Genomic DNA, 20,416 nt, shown 5'->3' on the forward strand with positions numbered 1-20,416 from the left:
GATTATTTAGCATCTGCTTCTTTGTGCTCAACACATCTCTCTTGGGTAAACCCATTAACCCATGAGAAGATTGTTTTATTTTTTTCAGATTTATAAGCTGGCATCTTAGGCCTGGAGAGGATAAACGATAGTGATGGTCAATGCCAGCACAAGAGAGTTTCATGGCCAATAAGCCTCAAAGACAAGGGAAATAAGGAATCCATGTAAGGCCACCAAAGCTTCTCCTTCAAGGTCAATTGGCTTGTGGCTGACCTTACCTATATGGCCTTGAAATTCCAGGTAAGAAGTAAAATGTAAACAAACTCATATTCACTCAACTGACATTGTTTTATCCAAAAGGTAAATGCAGAATACCTTCAAAGTATCTATCAGATAAGAAAATAAAGTGTTTTTCCTGAGCACAGAGGCCGTGAACAGTTTTTGAGGTGATAACTTCCTTCTGTATGATGATGACATAAGAGTTGGGTTGGGTGAGTATAATAAAGAAGAAAAGAAGGCCCATGGTGACCCAGAGCTTCAGTCTGCTCCAGCCATACCACTCCAGATCCCCAGTTGATCACAATTCTTCACGTACAATAATGTGGCCTGTCTCTCATGTGAGACTGATAAATAACTATGCTAAGCATATATGTCACTGCTATTGCACTACTTACTATTCACTCCCCAAACTAGGCTTCAGATGGTGGGTTGGCCAGGAGGAGGCCTTAACCATGAGTTACTTGGTTTTCCTTATTCCATCCCTGATGGGAAGCTATGGCTACACTCTGCAAGCACTGGGAAAATGGAAGAAGGGTAGAATCAATGAATGTTAAAATTGAAAGGCCTCAATACTGTAAGATCTCACTTATAAGTGGAATCTAAAAAAGCCAAACTTTTAGTAGAGAGTAAAATAGGGTTACCAGAGGCTGGTGGGGAGGAAGGAGGTGGACAGGGAAAGGGGAGACATTAGTGAATGGGTATAAAGTTTCAGTTAGAAAGGATAAATCAGTTCTGGTGGTTTATTGCACCACACAGTGACTATAATTAATAATAATATATTGTATATTAGCTGAAATAGAGGATTTTAAATGTTCTCATCACAAAGAACTGATACATATTCAAAGTGTTGAATATGCAAATTTGCCTGATTTGTTCATTCCATAATATATCAAAACATCACATTGTATCCCATAAATATATACAAATGTACAATTATTATTTGTCATTTAAAAATCTAATTAAACTTAAAAAAAATCTCTGAAAGGACACCTAGAGTTAGCCCAATTCAAAACTTCCTACAGAGTTAGAAATGCGGAAGCAAGGTGGGAAGAAAAGATTATCATCCCCTTTTGACCCTCACTGTTGAGTCTACCAATTTTTTTCTCAGTAGTTTTAGTTTACAAAGGAAACTAAAAGAAGTTGATGTGGTGCTCTTTCATATATAGTCTGGGAGTTGGAAACAGTAGTTTGAGGACCCAATATGGCTTTTTTTTTTTTTCAGGGAAGGAGAGATTTATTCGTTTTCTTTATAAATATGTTATTTTTCTTAATTGGGACTGAAGCAAGGAATGTGATCTACAAGCATACAGAGAGTAAAAACAATCATTGTTCTTCATTTTATCTTTCAAGTACCTTTCTGATCTATTGAATGCTTATGATTACATGGACTGGCAGACTGACTAAGACCAAGGATTAAGGTGGATGAGACACTGACAGATCTCAAGTCTAGAATATTTTCCAGTCAGGATTCAAAAGATCCTAACCCCCAAAATCTGATGTCTTACCGAGACAGAGTCATACAGCTCAGGTGAATGTCAGTAGGGAGATTTAATCAGTTTTTTTCTGGAAAAAACTCCTATACTCTAGTCCCAGAGACAACAAAAAATGTGGAATAAAAAATGCAATTCCTATCAAGAGACTCAAAGTCAAAAACTGGGAGCTCTAGGCTGGCAGAAGAAAAATGAGACTGGCAGGTGTCAAATCTATACTCATGCCAAGTGGAAACAAGAAGTTAGTGAGCTCTTCGGCCCACTAGGAAAGTATGAGAAACACACACAGAGACAACATACATGGATACGCTACACCATGTATCACTGTGCCAGGCAGAGAAGACCTCGGGTCAAGTGCCAGCTCTGGAATCAAGCTGAGCCCCATCTGTCAGTCACAGAGCAAGTGGACAAAGAAGTACAAATAGTAGAAGTGAAATACCAGATGTAAAATTTGGGGAATGTATAAGGTACGTAGGTAGCATCTTGTAATTATTACTACGTACAACATATGGAAACATCTGGAAAACACTTTTGGACCATGATTCTCATGAGGCTCAAGAAACTCTTTTTTGGTTTTAGACTCGCAAGTTGGTATGGAAGAGAGTGCAGTTATGGAACTGGTAGGTTCTTTATAAGGATGTGTGGGGAGGTGGTGAATAAATAAAATAAAGGAACAAAAACCAATGAAGAGAGCTAACATAACAAAAAGTTCTACCTTACATGTTTATTTAGAGATGGGAGGCATACTCCTGTAAAAAGTCAGCTGTACAAAGAGGCTAGAAAACAGCTCATAGTAATAAAGATATATATGAAAGATAACAGCAGCTCTGGTCAACAACCAGAAACAAGTATACAATGAGTTACAGCAAGGCAAATGAAAACTATGACTATATACCAAACATGAATGACCCTCATGAATATAATATGGAGCAAACGAAGCCAGACACAAAAGAGCATATGTAATCCATGAATAAAACACTAAAAAATACTAGTTATCTTCATAGGAGAGTAGCGACTGGAAGGAATTACAAAGAGGCATCTGGGATGCTGGTAATATTTTGTTTCTTGATTTATGTGCTGGTTGCACACTTTGTAAGAATTCATTCAGCTGTATACCTATGACCTGTGCACTTTTCTGTATGTATTTTCTATCCCCATTAAAAATATAGCAATGTTTCCCATTTGTGTTCCATAGAGACTCTGTCGCCTAAAGAAATGTTATTAGGTGGTTCTTCCATAAAAGAGTTTGGTGTTCAATAAGTTGAGAAATGCTGGGAATGATACAGGACATTTCAATCCATGAGTGTGAACACATCCACCCTCTTTGATGATCTCTGTCCCATTCATATTGCACGTCCTTCAAGTTTCCCCAAGGTCTTTTCTGGTCTCCCAAATTTTGGCCATAACAGAAACTGTGTGAAAGAATGTGGGTCAATCTATATAGTTCACCCCCTGATGGAAAAAAAAACACTGTCAGCACATACTGTATTCAACCAGTCTGGATCAGCAGCGTCACCTCTGTATGGAAATGCACACGTTTAAAATATGGCGATGCCTGCTGTTTCAGATGGACTTCTCCATCCAGTGCTCTTATGCTCAGGCAATCAGCGCAGTGAGCTGGCACACTTCATGTCATTTGCAAACACAATGTAGTGAAGGAATACAGAAAAGCAGGTTTTCAAATATAGCTTTTCACAACTGAGATTTGGGAATGTTCAAGTGATCTCAGCATTCCCATGGATTTGCAGCTCAAAAAACAGTTTCTCCCAAATACTTGAAAGTTATCATGAGTTGACTCTTACAATCACCTCATTTTTCTAGTCACTTATGTCAAAACAAAGCTTTGCTCCTTTACAACTAGCATTTTGCTTGTTCACAGTGGGGCAGACAGCTGCGTTCACTGATTCAGGCTCTTGCCTCTTTTCTCTTAAACTCTTTTTCACTCACTACTATGAGGAAGATTGTAGAATTTGGAGCCTGTCTGTATGCACACACACAAAAATAACAATTCTGTGTTCTTATCTTTAGGACACTTTTTACCACTTTAGCTATTTAACTTGGCTTAACCAAGCAGCTGGTTTACCTTTAGCTATTTATTTCTACCAAGTTCTACCAAAAAGAAAGAAAAGAAAAATAAAATCACCTAAATTAAGTGAAATACCCTTTTTGTGGGGTGGGAGAGGAAGAGGAGGAAGGGATGCATCTTCAAAACGTCAAATAAACAATTTGCGGTAAAGCCCCATCATTTCTCTTTTTGGCATCTGATCATCAGGTCTTTTCATTCTCTTTGCTATGACCTTAATCAGACGTACTAAATACCACCTACTACTACTTAATTTACAATGAGGACAAGAAGAGCCAGAGAGAGTATTCCAAACCAATGTCTTAAACAATGGCATTCATTATAATAGATATCATAATTATATTACATTAATTTCATACAGGAGAATTCAATTACATATTCCAAAGAAAATCCAGAACAAGCTAATTAACATCATGATGTCCAGTTTGGTGGGAAATGATTTGGATTGGAAAATACGGCTTCACGTCTTGAAGTCTACTAAGAAAATCACATTGCAAACACTAAACTATATCATTCTTAGTGGATAAACAGTAAGTATGATTATGTTTGAAATTGCAGAAGCTGTTAGGAAAAACAGAGATGTAGACAAAATAAAATTAAGAGAAAATTTTGCAAATGTTAACTGTCATCGCCACGGTTATACAATCCTGAAGCAAAGCTGAAAAGAGTGTAACAAAATGACTGCTGGACTTGGGTTAGGGCCAAGACATCGCAAGCCACCTCACAAACAGTATTTTAAATGTTTGCTCCGGAAAAAGGAAAAACATTACCAATTGAACAAAGAACTATAAGTATTACAAGTTCACTTAAAAGCAAAAATACTAAGTTTTCATGAGAATGAATTCCTAGTACTGTGAAAAAGAATAGTAAATCTCATGATTGGCTAATTCATGTTCTTATAACCAGTAATGATTGCACGTACCTCATTTAAGTCCTGCCGAGTTTCAAAAGCATCCTTTGGCGAAATGGCAGTCCTCTGGTCTATTCTATAAAATACAAAGAAAAATTATTTCCATTTAAAAGAAACGTTTCAGTGATGTACATGTGAAGCTGGTGGCTACAAATCTGGCTGTACCCCTGATAAAAACCCTTGGTTGTGTCCCACTGCCTGTAGAATAAAATACAGACTCCTTACAATGGCCTGCAGCACATTATAGCACTTGAACCCTGACAGCCTCCCTGGTCCCCTCTCCTACCACTCTCACCCTTGTTCACCACACTCCAGCCACCCTGGCCTTCTCTCTGTTCCTTGAACAGGTAGTGCTTGCTCCCTGTTCAAACCTTCACACTTGCTGTGCCTGAGCCCAGACTGCTCTCCCCTGGGATCTGCATACAATTCACTCTTATCACCATGTATGCATCGGCTCAGCTCACAGGGCACCTCCCCAAGGAGGCCTCCCTAACTAGACAAGACATGCCCTCACCCTCACTCTCTAGCATACAGTCCTGTACATTTTCTTCTTAGCACTTCCTCCTATTGAAATTATACATTTATTTGCATGTCCACAGTAAAGTGTAAGCTCCAAGGAGGTATTGATTATGTTTATTTTCTATACTGCTAAAACCTCACCTATTAAAAATTCAATAATTGTTTTGATTGAATGAATGTGATCTGATACAGTTGCAGAAAGATACCATTTGTCTGCTGAAGACAGCTTATGGAAATTTCATCCTATCTCTTAACTTACACAATAAATGTTATAATATATGCTGGGTACCATGGTGCAATGGTTTGGATGTGGTTTGTTCCCACCAAAACTCATGTTGAAATTTGATCCCCAGTGTGGCAGTGTTGGGAGGTGGGGCCTAGTGGGAGGGGTTTGGGTCATGGGATCTGTGACAGGGGAGGGATAAGGAAGTGAGCTCTTACTCAGAAATAAATTTGTTCCCATTGTGGTTTTGATTTGCATTTCTCTAATGATCAGTGATGTGAGCTTTTTTTCATTTGTTTGTTGGCTCCATGTATGTCTTCTTTTAAAGTGTCTGTTCGGCCAGGCGCGGTGGCTCATGCCTGTAATCCCAGCACTTTGGGAGGCTGAGGCATGCAGGTCACTAGGTCAGGAGTTTGAGACCAGCCTGGGCAATATGGTGAAACCCTGTCTCTACTAAAAGTACAAAAATTAGTGGGGCGTGGTGGCAGGCACCTGTAGTCCCAGCTACTTGGGAGGCTGAGGCACGAGAATTGCTTGAACCTGGGAGGCGGAGGTTGCAATAAGCTGAGATTGCGTCACTGCACTCCAGCCTGAGCGACGGAGTGAGACTCAGTCTCAAAAAAACAGAAAAGTGTCTGTTCATGTCCTTTGCCTACTTCTTTTATGAGGTTGCTTGGTTTTTTTCTTGTAGATTTGTTTAAGTTCCTTATAGATGCTGGATATCAGACCTTTGAGGGATGGGTAGTTTGCAAAAATTTTTTCCCATTCTGTAGATTGCCTGTTTACTCTGTCAATAAGTTCTTTTGCTATGCATATGCTCTTTCATTTAATTAGATCCCATCTGTCAATTTTTGCTATTGTTGCAACTGCTTTTGGCATCACTGTCATGAAATCTTTGTCTAGGCCTGTGTCCTAAATCATATTGCCTAGTTTGTCTTCCAGGGTTTTTATAATTTTGAGTGAAAACCAAATACCGCATATTTTCACTTATAAGTGGGAGCTAAATGATGAGAACACATCAATCTATGAGACACATAGAGGGGGACAACACACACTGGGGCCTTTCAGAGGGTGGCAGGTGGGAGGAGGGAGAGGATCAGGAAAAAATAACTAATGGGTACTAGGCTTAATACCTGGGTGATTAAATAATCTGTACAACAAACCCGCATGACACAAGTTTACCTGTGAAACAAGCCTGCACTTGTACCCTGAACTTAAAATAAATAAAAAGAGGGAAGGGAAGGGAAGGGAAGGGAAGGGAAGGGAAGGGAAGGGAAGGGAAGGAAAGGGGAAGGGGAGGGGGCGGGGGAGGGGGAGGGGGAGGGGAAGGGAAAGGGAGGGCATTTGTTCCCTAGAGAACAGCTTGTTGAAAAGAGTCTGGCTTCCTTGGTTTCACTCTCTTGCTTCCTCTCTCACCATGTGATCTCTGTTCAAGCCAACTCCCCTTTGCTTTTTGCCATGGGAGAAGCAGCCTGAGGGCCACACCAGGTGCAGCCACCCAATCTTAGCCTTTTCAGTGACCATTATTGTGAGCCAAATAAATTTCTTTTCCTTACAAATTATGAAGCCTCAGGTATTCTGCAATAGCAACACTAAATGGACTAAGACACATGGCGAAGCTGGGTTTTGCCACTACATGACTGACAACAGAAGAAAATGAATTTAAAGCATATCTACTCAAAGTCATTTTCTGTAGCTTACAAACAAAAACAAAATACACAAAACTCCACTGTTGAAAGATCCTTAGGTCCAAATCATAATTTGTCAAATTCTATGGTCCAATGTCATCTGTTAAATAGAATTCAAGTTTTTCTGAGACAGTCTGAATGCTATTATATAATAAACATATTAACTTATAGTTATTATCCTTATAAAAAGGCCAGTTATCTTAATGAATAAGAGATTTGTCAGTGTTAACATTTATAAAAAGATTTCTTTGGGGACCTAATTATTTACAGTTACTATTCTGCTCCAATTTGCATCCTGAAGAAAGCATATATGTCCTCTAAATGGGCAACAAGGTCAATATCTAAATGTCATAATGCACATTTAGAAATGCCAGGAGCCTAACTTCTTTAAAATATTCTTAAGAATACAATTTTTTTTTTACTCTACAAGCTTTGCTTACTGTGCAAACAATTTCTAATGAGAAAAGTTAAGGAGATGGTAATAGAAGAAAATTGTGAAGGTCAGACTAATGTCCTCCATGCCTGAACAAACCAGCATTTCCCTCCTGGGTGGGAGAGAGCCTAAGGCTCCCAACCACAAGCTCAGGCTTAGATAGCTCAAGGGGAAAAAGAGGGTGAGGAGGAAGACTGCTGGCTCACACATCTAATATCCATCAATCCCCTGAACCACAAACAGTGATTTCAGTGCATCAGAAAATACAAAATAGCTCTTTCCCACAAAACAGGCAAAAGCAGTCTTGGAGACAGGGGTTAATCCACCCTACTCAGTAACATCTAACACTTTGAATGGCTCATAGTTTCTTTGTAACCCTCAGTAGTTCTCAAACTATGTTTCTATAGAGTAGCACCAGCAAAATGGAAGAGTGGTATTCTCTAATAGAAAAAATATTTACTGGTTTACACTCTTCAAATACAAGTTTTTCTAGGGCTTTGGTGCAAGCTCCCTGTTGATGAGTGACAGCAGATGGTAAAACAAATAACCAAGTAGCAAACTTTCATGGAAGGAAGCAGAAATATACTTTGTTAAAAATATATGGTATATATTAGTGAGATATAGAGAAGAGCCTACGTAGAATATACTCACATGATCTTCCAAGGAAACTACTCTTAACCATTAGATAAACCTCCAGAACAAGTTTGAGAACTGTAGTCTAGAGCATCAAAGGTACTTTAATTTACTAACCATCTGAATGTCTACTGTGTGCCTGGTCCAGTGTTGTGGAAACAATAATAGACAATCAGAGGCAGTGCCTTAAGGAGACTTAGAATCTAGTGAAACTTAAATGATGATAAAGCTAATGAACACTGAGTCTTGAAGCCACTTCAGCAAATCAAGCATCAGGGCAAAAGGGTTGACGTTAGAATGGAGGTGAGAGGCCGGGCGTTGTGTCTCATGCCTGCAATCCTAGCATTTAGGGAGGCCAAGGCAGGTGGATTGCCTGAGCTCAGGAGTTCGAGACCAGCCTGGGCAACACAGTGAAACCCCATCTCTACTAAAATACAAAAGATAGCCAGGTATGGCGGTGTGCACCTGTAATCCCAGCTACTCAGGAGGCTGAGGCAGGAGAATTGCTTGAACCGGGAGGCGGAGTTTGCAGTGAGCTGAGATCGTGCCACTGCACTCTAGCCTGGGTGACAGGCAAAACTCCATCTCTAAAACAAACAAACAAAAAAGAATAATGGTGGTGAGAAACTGGAGAGTTAGAGACAGATAAAAGACATTTTTCAAGGATAAAAGCAATCAAGAAGTCTTGGGTGTGGATTCAAAGTATGGAGTGAAAGAGATGCGGTAATCAAAATTATTACAAACTTGAGTCTGTGTGACAAGGAAAATGGCAGGTTTCTTTTTTTTTAATGAAGCCAGAAAAACATGTAATGTCTTTCATGAAGAGAGGCAATTCATGAGTTCAGATTTAGATATTTGAAGCTTGAGGTGAGACTGAAATAGAGAAGTAAAAATGTCTGGCCAGGGTTCACCCTGGAATGGGGCACTCTAAGTGTGTTCAGCAGAGAAGGGGGGTGAGATAATTATGATGGTGTACAGTGGCCACAGATAAGGTCATGTGGGCAGATTCTGCATCACTTTTTGCTTCGTTATGTGCTAGGCAACGTACCTAGAAGCTTCTCAGTATGTATGTTTTCAAGAGATGGATAAATGAGAGAAAGCACTAGACCCAAGAATGACTTCAATTCACCAGCCCTTACTACCCCAGAGTGGGTCTTCCAGGCAGTTTACTTACATTATTTTATTTAATCATCAAGGTCATCATATGAGACTAGCATTATTATATCTATTTCACCTAATAGGAGAAAGGGTAGTTAAATACTTCATCCATTCAGTCAACAAATATTTTTTAAACACCAAAGATGTGCTAGGTACTGTTGCAGGTGTTGGGAACAAAGCAGTGGATAAAATAAAGTCTGCCCTTGTGGAACTTATATTCTCACGGAAGGATAACAAAAAGAAATAAACCAGTGATTATCTATGGTGCACCAGATGCTAAGTATTATGGAGAAAAAGAAAGCAAGGCAAGAAGAACAGGACATGCAGGAGAATGGCCCAAGCTCACACTGCTACAAAGTGTCAAAGTCTCCTAGAGATCATGAGAAACAGAAGGCGAGAAAAGAAAAGGCCACTGGACTGAAAAAGATAAAGGTCATAGTAGAAGAGGAAAAATAAATGAAGCTTTTCACTGGAGTTTAGCAATGAATGATGGAGAACTGGAACAGTAGCTAGCCATCTCAAACTCCCTTCTTTTTAAGATCCTTAACGATACTGCTTGAACCATTTACAATCTTTCCTGGAAGCTGGCCTACACACAAAAACTCGGTCACACTGAACACTCCCTCCAATTCTCTTGCCGCCTGTGTCCAAAACAATAATAGGAAAGTAACTAAGCAAATATATATCAAATGCATGCTTTTAAAGGGGACCAAAATGAGTCAGCCAGTCATAGTACTGTGCTAACTCCAGTGTAAGCTTGTCCTCTAGCCCAGGTCCTGGCAATGAGAAATGCAGCCTGCACTCCTCAGAGCCCAATTATGGCCCTCAGTAGTGATGAGCATGTGATATCTCCAACCATCACCACCACTACTACCACCATGACTATCACCACCATTCACCAACATCATCACCCACCACCACCACTACCACCACCACCATTACCACCACCATCACCACAACCACCACAACCACTGCCATCACCTCCACAATCACCATCATCACCATCACCATCACCATTGCCACCATCACTACCACCACTGCCACTACCATTGCCACCACCACTGCCACCACCCACCAGCATCACCCCCATCATCACCCCCACCACCACCACCAGCACCACCAACCACCATCACCACCACCAGCACCACCAACCAGCATCACCATCACCACCACCAGCACCACCATTGCCACTGCTGCCACCACTGTATAATTCAAAGTAAAAAATACTTCTCAACAGAGAAATGCAAAACTTAATTTTGTGCTGATATGAAAAGAGCTTTTCCCTGGATTCAAACTGCAAACTTGTGGATAGCCTATGACTACAAACTTGTGGATAGCCCACTGAAATACAACTTTTCTAAAAATGTTTGATGTTCCCACTTTGCTGGAACCCTAAAGCTCGTGCTGAGTCAGCCTGTAGGGTCATCTTCTAGTGGCCTCCTCGCAGGAGGTGTACTGGAGTTCAAAACAATAAACCCAACTAAGCATTAAGATATTTTTCTTGGCCTAAGGACAGTGTCAAACTGCAGGATGTGATAATTTGTGAAAACGCCACATTTTAGCTCACAGTTGTATATTTACACCAATGTTTGAACTATCTATAATTAAATTAGCAGAGGAAAGTGTTTCCTATTTCAGTGAAAAGCTTCCCCATCTTGCCAATGGCTCATGGAAGACAACGGACAGCTATCTAACGCTTTTCTTTCCCTTAAGCCCAATAACCAAGTTATTAACAAGCCTCTCAATTTCTTATCCCAAATCATGTTTGTGTCTGTCCCCTCCCCTCTATCTCTACCACTGCCATCTGGGGCCAAGCCACCAGCACCTCTCATCTGAACTACCTGAATGACAGTAGTTTCTCCCTGGTCTCCCTACTTCCCCTCTACCCTCCTCAGGCCACCGTTCACACAAGATCTTTCACTACCCTTCTGCACACTATACTTAAAATAAAACTCAAAATTCCGAGAGTACTGTATGACACCCTGAAGGATTTAGTATGTGCCCACTCCTCAACCTTAGCTTGCATCATTCTCCCTCTCTGAACTCCAGCTACACTGGCATTCTTTCCGTTTTGTGGATGCACCATGCTCCTTTCCAGCGCAGGCCTTCACATGTGCCTGTAATGCTGTTCCCTCTCCACTTTCTCTCCTAAGTAACTCATTCATACTTTAGATGCTAGATAGCTCCCAGTCAGGTCTCCCTTTCTTATATATGTTCTCACTGTATTCTGATCTTCTACTTTCTGCTATGCAGCAGGTCTCAGTTCTTAATCATGTATTTGTGTAATTATTTGATTGTTTCTTTCTCACGATGGTGAGCACTGTGGAGCAAGGACCATAGCAGCCTTGCTTAGCATTTTATCTCTAGGGCCAAGTCTGGCATATGACACACAGTAGGCACTCATATGTTTGTAAATAACGTATTCATCCTAGGGTTATGGGCAGCTGCCAATTCTTATATATTTCTGAGTGTGTAAAGTAATGATAACTGATGCTCCCTCTTCCACCTATAGCATGCTAGCAGAGCCTAGAGGATGGAATGACTCTCATTCCCATAACAAATGCATTTCTTCCCTGAAGAGATCTATGAAAGATTAATTAGTAGCTTTTGAACCCATGACCTAGAAAACCTGGGCAGAAAGAGTAAAAAGAGAGCATCCAACACACTTTTCAGAATACTTCACATAGAATCAGAGCCTTAGAACTGAGCAGTGCTGACTCCCATCACATCTTCAGAATTCAGGATATTCCACTGCATAAAAAATTGAGCCTCTCTATGAGAAGGCAATACTTGGGATACACTAATGTATACCCGGATGACTGCTGGCTGGCTGTATGACTGGTGTTTCCTGAAACTCTTTTGAAAACAAAAGGTATATCCCAAGAGGACAACCCTCTGAGCAAAACATGTTTTATATACAAACAATAGCTCTATATGCAGACACAGACAAGATGCCAATAAATTCCAGTAATATTATTAGAAACAATAACAGCCCTTAATACCAGTAAATAGAAAGTTCCTTTCTCTAGAGAGTCGAAGCCACATTGAAGACATTCTCTTATTGGTTCTTACCAAATGTCTGCTAAAGGACTGAGGTCAAATATTAAGCAGCCAACTTCAAAGACTAAAAAAAAACCAAGCCACAGTGTTCAAAATTATTCCCCGAGAGACTACTGAAAGAAAACAAAACTCGAAGTCCATGGATGTTCAGAAACTGACTTCCCAACCCATGTATCCACTTGTCCAGGCCAATGAACTCCCAAGGATGCTTCAGCTAGAAACAGAACACTGATCCCCAATGGTATACCCTCCCAGAAGCCAACTTCCCCAACCACCACCTCCCACCTTGTACTTCTCTGAAGATTAGAATCAGCCAGTATTATTAAAACAGAGATTCCTGGGCCACAACCCAAACCTACTTAATCAGAATTTCCAGAAAAGTAGGATGATGACATATAGTTAAGAAGCACTCTAGGGGATTCCTAATTGGGGAACGCTATCCTAAAGGTCCAAGTGCAACAGCCTGGGAGGACACCAGTGGCTAAAACGTGCAAGGGAGGAACTTCTTTGAGTATAGGAGTGACATGGTGTTTCTGGCCTGGTCCCCCAGGGAACACATTCCCAAAGAGAGAAAGGCTGTGCCCCTCAAAACACCATGAAAAACTTCAAATACAGGGCAGCCCAGCTGTCCTGGAAAAGGTACCACTTCTCACTTTGGTGAGCTGGAACAGACACCAGAAGCAGCCAAGACCACAGCAATGCCCAGAGAATGGGTGAGCAGTGAGTCAGGTGCACAGGGCCAGCTTCAGAATTGGCAGAGTGGAGGTAAAGTAGACATGGGTGTGGTTTAAAAGACACTGTGAACCATAAAGAACACATTTTGGATGGAATATTGAGGACACAGGATCCAGCAGGTGAATGAGTGAGAGCAGAGGCCCCAATAAGACATTATTAGGAGTAATAATTATAGCAGCACCTGGTTTGCTGAGCAGGCTACAAGGCACTTTGCTTTCATCACCTCATTCATTCCATACACTTAGTAAATACATTCCATACACTTAGTAAACAATGATCAGACACCTGCTCCATGTGCCAGGCAGTGCTCAGCCCAGGAGACGAGTGGTTGTAACCAATACTTCAGCTCCAAGGACACTTCTGCCCACCTCAAGCCTCTGCCAAGTTTCTTCATTCTTCTGCCTCAAAGTTTTTTGCCAGACAGGGCTCATTCCCTCAGCCTGCATGTGTGGCAGATTTAACTCCCCTGGGAGCAGCCCGCAGCCGGAAGAGAAGGTGGGGTGTGTGTGTGTGAATAAATGCTGCAGCCCTTTCCTCAACTTTCAGAGGGATAAGTCTGAGATACTGCCTACACAGTTCCTCAGAGAGACCCCAGTTGCTCAGAGTGGCAACCTACCAAGTAACACACCTGTTGTGGGCTCTTCCTCCTTCCCTAGATCCTGCTTCCTGGGACCACCTTCCTGTACCCAGCTCCTCCTATCTATCAGAATCCACCTTCAAGAGGAACCTCAAGTAAGAAAGCGGTGACAAAGTCGACACAATCTCTGTCTTTTGGAGCTTACAGTTGGGGGAAAGAGAAAAACCTCATCACACAAATGAAGATTTAGATCAGGGACAGATGCAGTGAAGGGCACAGAGTGTCACAAGTGATGGGCTGGGGGGTGGGGGTGCGGAATTTAAACGACAGGTGAATAGCTGATGAATATTTGTAACTACGTATCACACTGGCTTCTGTGATATTACAACTGATACTCAGACTTGCAACACTTTAACTTTTAAAGTATCAATCAGGTTAGCTCTTGGAACACAAGAATATTTTTCAAGGCACAGGGGATTTGAGTAGGCATTAATATTAATCAAGCCTAAATGCTGCCTGTTCCCTATTCAAGATTTTCTTTCTCTCCCAAAAGGAAAGAGTCATGAGTCTCTATCCTTCACCTGTCATCTTCCCTCCATCTTCATTGTCACCAGCACCTCCCACAGGGATGATATATTAGCTTCCAAGATGTACCCCTGAGTACAACACACTACAGTATAGTGTACAACACACAGTACCCAGAGTGATCGTTTAATGTCAATCTGAGTCTGTCACTCCTGTTTATAACCTCCAGTGGTTTTCTTCTAGACTTAGACAAAATCCAAGGATCAACACCCAGGCTACCAGGCCCCATGCAGCGTGTCCACCACCAACTTTTCTGACATCATCTGGTACATTCTCTCTGCAGTTCAGCACACTCCAGCTTTACTTGTCTTTGCTGATGCGACTTGACACAAGATGAACAGAACCTGGATCAGTGTCGGTCTGAGGAGCAAGGGTGAGTTAATGATCAGGGAGGCAAGTTGGAGGAGCCCTGGTCTTTCCATGTCTTTGACTCAGTTAAGTTTGGCAAGCCACACCAAGCCTTTCTGACCCTTAAAATTGGTTCTTAGTCCTCTTGCTCCATCAGCTCCAGGTTCTTCCCATGCCCCCATGTCACCCAACACTATACTGATTTCATCTGTTCAGCATTTTTCATCTCCAATCCACTTCTTCTGACATCAACCTCCCTTTCCCTTGGGAAACTAGCTTTCCACAATTCTACATGAAAGGGTAAACATGTGGCCTGAACTAGGCCAGTTAGTTCCTTTCTCCCTGAAGTCAAAACTTGAGGGGGAATGAAAAGCTGTTGTATTAGCGTGGGATCATCCAGTGATAACACCTCAGAGAAACATGTCCCTGTCATTGTGATTCCAGAAATCCATGGACTAGGCCTGGTTCTTATCCTTCCCAAAGCATATTTGCCCTTAGTTCAATTTTTTAAGCTAAGCAATAGCCTTCATTTAGATTCCTTTCCTTGCCTGAATCAAACACAGTTAGTTTCCATTGTTTGCAGAGAATACCAACTACATTACCAAGAAACAACCACTTGTCATGCAATAGCCTGGGTCTCCTTTGTTGCACACGAGCAAGATCAGCAAGACTGGCAGTAATTACACATTGAAAATGACCACTTTCTTGATCCCCACTTTTCCAACCATGACTATTCATGGCCAACTAGGGCCACTTTGTCATGTACAACCCCTTTAAAAACCTTTTTGAAATTGTCTGAATCACATGTCCAAGTTGAGCAAGCGAGTCCAAATCACTGGAATCTCAACTGGCAATTCAGTTGAGATTGAGTTGGGAAACCAACTTGTCCAAGGTATGCATAGTTTTTGGTTCAACTAGAGGGAAGCTAAGGTCTAGCTTAAAGATGTGCAGAAAAACAGATCTATGAAGGTAACCTGGGCTCTGTGCAGGATGGATATGGAAGCACAAGAATTTAGCCAGTGTACACAAAAGCAAACTAGAGCTTGTAAAGGACCAGGTACATAAAGGACCATAATGAAATATGGCCAAGAGAGGCGTGAGATTATAGAGGGCAAACCAGAATTCCATGGGATTGCTTATCTAAGAATCAATAAGCAGAAACTTTACTAAACTACTGAACCTATGAGTTCAGCACTGTGCTGAAAACTGCACAGTCAAAAGAATTACAGAAAATAGGCATATATCCTATTTGAAGAGATAAACCAAACTCTTTTAATACTAGTACCATGTGTCTAGTTACATTGAACATGTTCTAACTACAGAGATCAACATGGGCTATTGAGAAAGGAGAAGGTGCATGAAAAGCTGGGAGAGAGCTGGGCTCTGAGATGAGATTAAAATTTAGATAAATGGTGGAGAGAAGAGAGAACACTAGCAGCAAGATAGATGTATTGGCAAGCCATAGATCAATACTGTGGAGCTAAGCAAAAACCTTCATGGAGGAAGGATCTCCTCTCTTATGGAATAGCAACATTAATCTTCCGAGCCCCTGCTGTGGGCCAGACCCTGAATGAAGCTGAACATGCAGTTCATTTAATCCTTGCGACAGTAGCTCTGGGAAGTAGATATTTTCATTTCCATCACACATCTGAAGAAATCAAAGCCCAGAGAGGTTAGGGAATCTGTCCAAGGAAGCAACAAAGCTGGAACTAGCATCCAGGTCTGCATACTGCCAAGGCCTTTCCTCTTTACACTACAGTATCTTGGATATTTCCTAGGCCCTTCCCAGGGGCTCTATTAATGTGTTTTTAGATTTATTCAATAGGCTGGGTTTGGCCAAAACTGTTTTCTTGTGTTGGTGCTAAACTTAAGGCACTAAGAAGACTTCAACAGCTGTCTTATTCCTGCATCTACCCCTTCTCAATCTTTCTCCCCTTGGACCCCACCCCCACTTAAATGGGTCTTGATATTTCCCTTGTCCCTGCATCTGCAGGATCATCAGAGTGCTCTTGATAAGAATTCTGTGCTACTGGACCCCTGAGAGGCTTGGCATGCTGCTCAAGAGTATAAGAAGAGACTTTCTACTGAGGCAAATGCTGAAGAAAAGAGGCATCTATGATACAAATTATGGCTTTAAACATTATTTAAACCTATAAAATCATCTGTAGTATTTGGTTTCTGATCCCAAGTGACCTAAACCACAAAGGCTGTAAGTGTCACTGAAAATTCATTTTAAGTTTTCCCAGTTAACAAAAATAAAAAATAAATCTGTTCTCTCCTAATATTCTGCTAATAGTCATGTCTGTCCCAAAGTAAGATTCAATTGTTACTAAATAAATAAAGCCAGAGAAACAGTAGGTACTATTATTTGTCTTGCAAATAATATAAACTTATCACTTTCTGCCAATTACAAGCTTAATAGGGGATCGCTAGCAGGGAAACTTGGAAAGTAAAAGCACAAAAAATATTTTTTTAATCACCTGTAATTCATCTCCCCCCAAAATTACCACCACTAAAATATGGATTTCTGTCTTGCTAGTATATGTTTCTGTAAATAATTATATATTAAGCAAAAATAAGAACATCTTGTGATACTGTTATGTAACTGCTTTTTTCCACTTAGATCATGTCCCCATGTTAATAAAGACTCACATAAAACATGGTTTTAGATAAGGTATCTATCATGAAATTTAGTGGGGTTTTTTTTGTTTTTGTGTTTTTACAGGGTGATGGTATGTCCCCTAGGGGCCATGTAGAAAATCTGGGGGCTATTTGTGATTATTACAGAAGCTGGAGTTGTCTACTGGCATTCTGTGGGCTAGAGCCAAAGGTGTCAGAGTCCCTGACATGAATGAGGCATCCCACACAACAAAGAATTTTTCCATCCCCCACATGACTTCCAAATGTCCTCTGGGAATGCTAGAGCCAGAAGCACTTTGCCCTTAGCACAATGTGAACTAGAACACCATGAAGGCTAGTGGATGAAACAGAAATATCTAGTAAATACACAAGGAAGGGGAAGAGATTAAACTGGATTGTCTCCAACATTCCACCCAGAGCCACCATCCTATGATTCCAACACATACAGAAATCCAGCCACATGACTTTTATCTAGTTCTCTCAAAGTTACTAGTTGTGTATTATATTCCTATCTTCTTCCATGATCGGACAACTGAAAATTGTATATCTCTTTTTTTCTTTTAACAAGGTCTCACTCAGTCATCCAGGCTGCAGTGCAGTGGCATGATCTCAGCTCACTGCAACCTCTGCCTCCCAGGTTCAAGAGATTCTCATGTCTCAGCCTCCCAAGCAGCTGGGATTACAGGTGTGTGCCACCGTGCCCAGCTAATTTTTGTATTTTATTTTTAGTACAGATGGGGTTTCACCATGTTGGCCAGGCTGGTCTCAAACTCCTGGCCTCAAGTGATCTGCCCGCCTCAGGCTCCCAAAGTGCTGAGATTACAGGCATGAACTGTAATCTCAGTGTGCCTGGCTAAAAATTTATATCTTAAGTTTCATTACAGTTAGCTACTCCAAATCCTATGCCTAGACAACTTTGACTTTTAAGCACAAACCAAGAAAACTATAATGGATGCACATAAAGATATTGTTTTTAAGATGTTTACTACAGCAATAAATACAAATATAAATCCTATAAGTAACTGCAATATCAAATACTTTAGATTTCATTACATAAATGATGGTATATCCACAAAAGGAAATAGAGTCATGTATCCCTTAGTGACGGGGATGTATTTTGAGAAATGCATCCTTAGGCTATTTCGTTGTTGTGCAAACACCACAGAGTGTACTTACAGAAACCTAGATGGTATAGCCCACTACACACCTAGGCTATATGGTATAGTCTAATGTTTCTAGGCTGCAAACCTCTACAGCATGTTACTGTACTGAATACTGTAGACAACTGTAATACAGTGGTATTTGCATATCTAAACATACAAAGGTACAGCAAAAATATGGTATTTTAATCTTATAGGACCACCATCATACATGTCCGTTGTTAACTGAAATGTTATTATGTGGTACATGACTGTATTTTACAGCCATTACGTATGTTATAGTGTATTTTATGATATGGAAAAGAGAATATTAAGCAGGACAAACAAGTTACATAGCAATGTAATATAATTATGTATAACACAATGTAATATACAGCAATGTATAATATAATGTAACATAAAGCAATGTAATTATGTATAATATATTCTTAGAGACAAATTTATAAATATGTGTATGTATGTATACATCTATCTATCTAATCCCAAAAATGTTTTAACCTAGCATTAATAATATAAGAAAAAATACATATGGAGGGTTGAGTAGGAGCTCTGTGTGTATGTGTATGTCACTATACATAATGTGTGTGTGTGTGTGTGTGTGTGTGTGTAGTATTTAATGTAAATCTTGAAAAGGAATACCTCATTGACAAATAACTATAACAGAAATATGGGAGTAGCCACGACTTCATTGGGAAGCTGAAGAGTAAGTTAAAGATTAGCCCCATTCTAGTCGCCTCAGGCACACTGAACACTTAACCAGCTGGTCAAAGTTCTAAATTAGGTTTAAATTTATACATTCTCTGTCTCCTATAATCATTATTGAAATTTCTCTTAAACCTATTTTATGTTAAGCCAAGAAACTTTCCAAGATGTTCAGATGTTAAGGACAAAGTTTCCTGTTTGGTCTCCTAGAAATATCATTTCTAACAAAGGGCTATAATGATACCAAAGCTTGCAAAACATGTTTCTTATAGAAATTGTATGTTAGAATATTTGCTATGGAAAATTAAATTTGTTCAATTTAGCCATAAATGAACTCACCAACCTTGTGATAATTAACCTACTGCTTATTACTCATCTTACTGGTCTTATGTAGAAAAGCACACTGCTATACATGATTATTGTATAATCATAATGCATTCTTGTCTAGCTTTCTATTCTATGATCTGCTTGATGTAAATAGTGCTTCTTTTTTTTTCTTTTATTATTATTATACTTTAAGTTTTAGGGTACATGTGCACAATGTGCAGGTTAGTTACATATGTATACATGTGCCATGCTGGTGTGCTGCACCCATTAACTCGTCATTTAGCGTTAGGTATATCTCCTAATGCTATCCCTCCCCCCTTCCCCCACCCCACAACAGTCCCCAGAGTGTGATGTTCCCCTTCCTGTGTCCATGTGTTCTAGCAGATTTAAAGCCCAATGCATCCAGAAGCCCCTTTCATACACAATTTCTCTTTATAACGTTAAAACAATAGCAACAATATAAGAAAGTGCCTTACCATGGTAATAGTGGTTATATCTCGGAGGTAAGATAACAAGTCATTTTTACATCCTTGGGATTCTCTATATTTTCCAGTGTTTCACTTATTTGATTATTAGTAGTAGTGGTAGTAGTAGCATTTTGAATGAGAGAATGTTTCTAAGTTTCCCTTTTATCCTTATGCCAAATTATCAGTGAAAGTGCTAACAATTTATCAAATGACCAAGGGTAATCTCCTTTAAAAAAACAACAAAAAAGGAAAATTTCATTTCCAAAATAATCAAGTGTGAGCTCTTTTTTCAATCAGCAGTTCACGGACTGGGTGTGGGATTTTTGTGCTCTACAGCAGGGGAGGGGGAATTATTTTTATCTGTATCTTCAGGAGCTCGTATTCTTTAGCTATAGCCTTCCCATGTCTAATGTTTTAAAT

At 40.3% G+C, this 20,416-nt stretch overlaps 1 protein-coding gene and 1 long non-coding RNA gene across 25 annotated transcripts in view; one reads left to right on the top strand and one right to left on the bottom strand.

Annotated features, from left to right (window-relative positions):
• Positions 1–20,416, bottom strand: part of FAM13C (family with sequence similarity 13 member C) — a 117,053-nt gene that overhangs the window by 51,919 nt on the left and 44,718 nt on the right. For 23 of the 24 annotated variants that reach the window (XM_006717702.4, NM_001347845.1, XM_017015891.2 and 20 more), the window contains 1 exon segment: positions 4,754–4,817. In XM_006717702.4, coding sequence (XP_006717765.1) covers positions 4,754–4,817 — 64 coding nt within the window. 24 annotated transcript variants of the gene reach the window in all.
• On the top strand, positions 13,856–19,526 carry LOC124902429 (uncharacterized). The gene is made up of 3 exons (XR_007062149.1): positions 13,856–13,922; positions 14,536–14,725; positions 16,694–19,526. It is a non-coding gene; the product is annotated as an uncharacterized LOC124902429 (long non-coding RNA).

Source organism: Homo sapiens, chromosome 10, assembly GCF_000001405.40.
Source record: "Homo sapiens chromosome 10, GRCh38.p14 Primary Assembly".
NCBI lineage: Eukaryota > Metazoa > Chordata > Mammalia > Primates > Hominidae > Homo > Homo sapiens.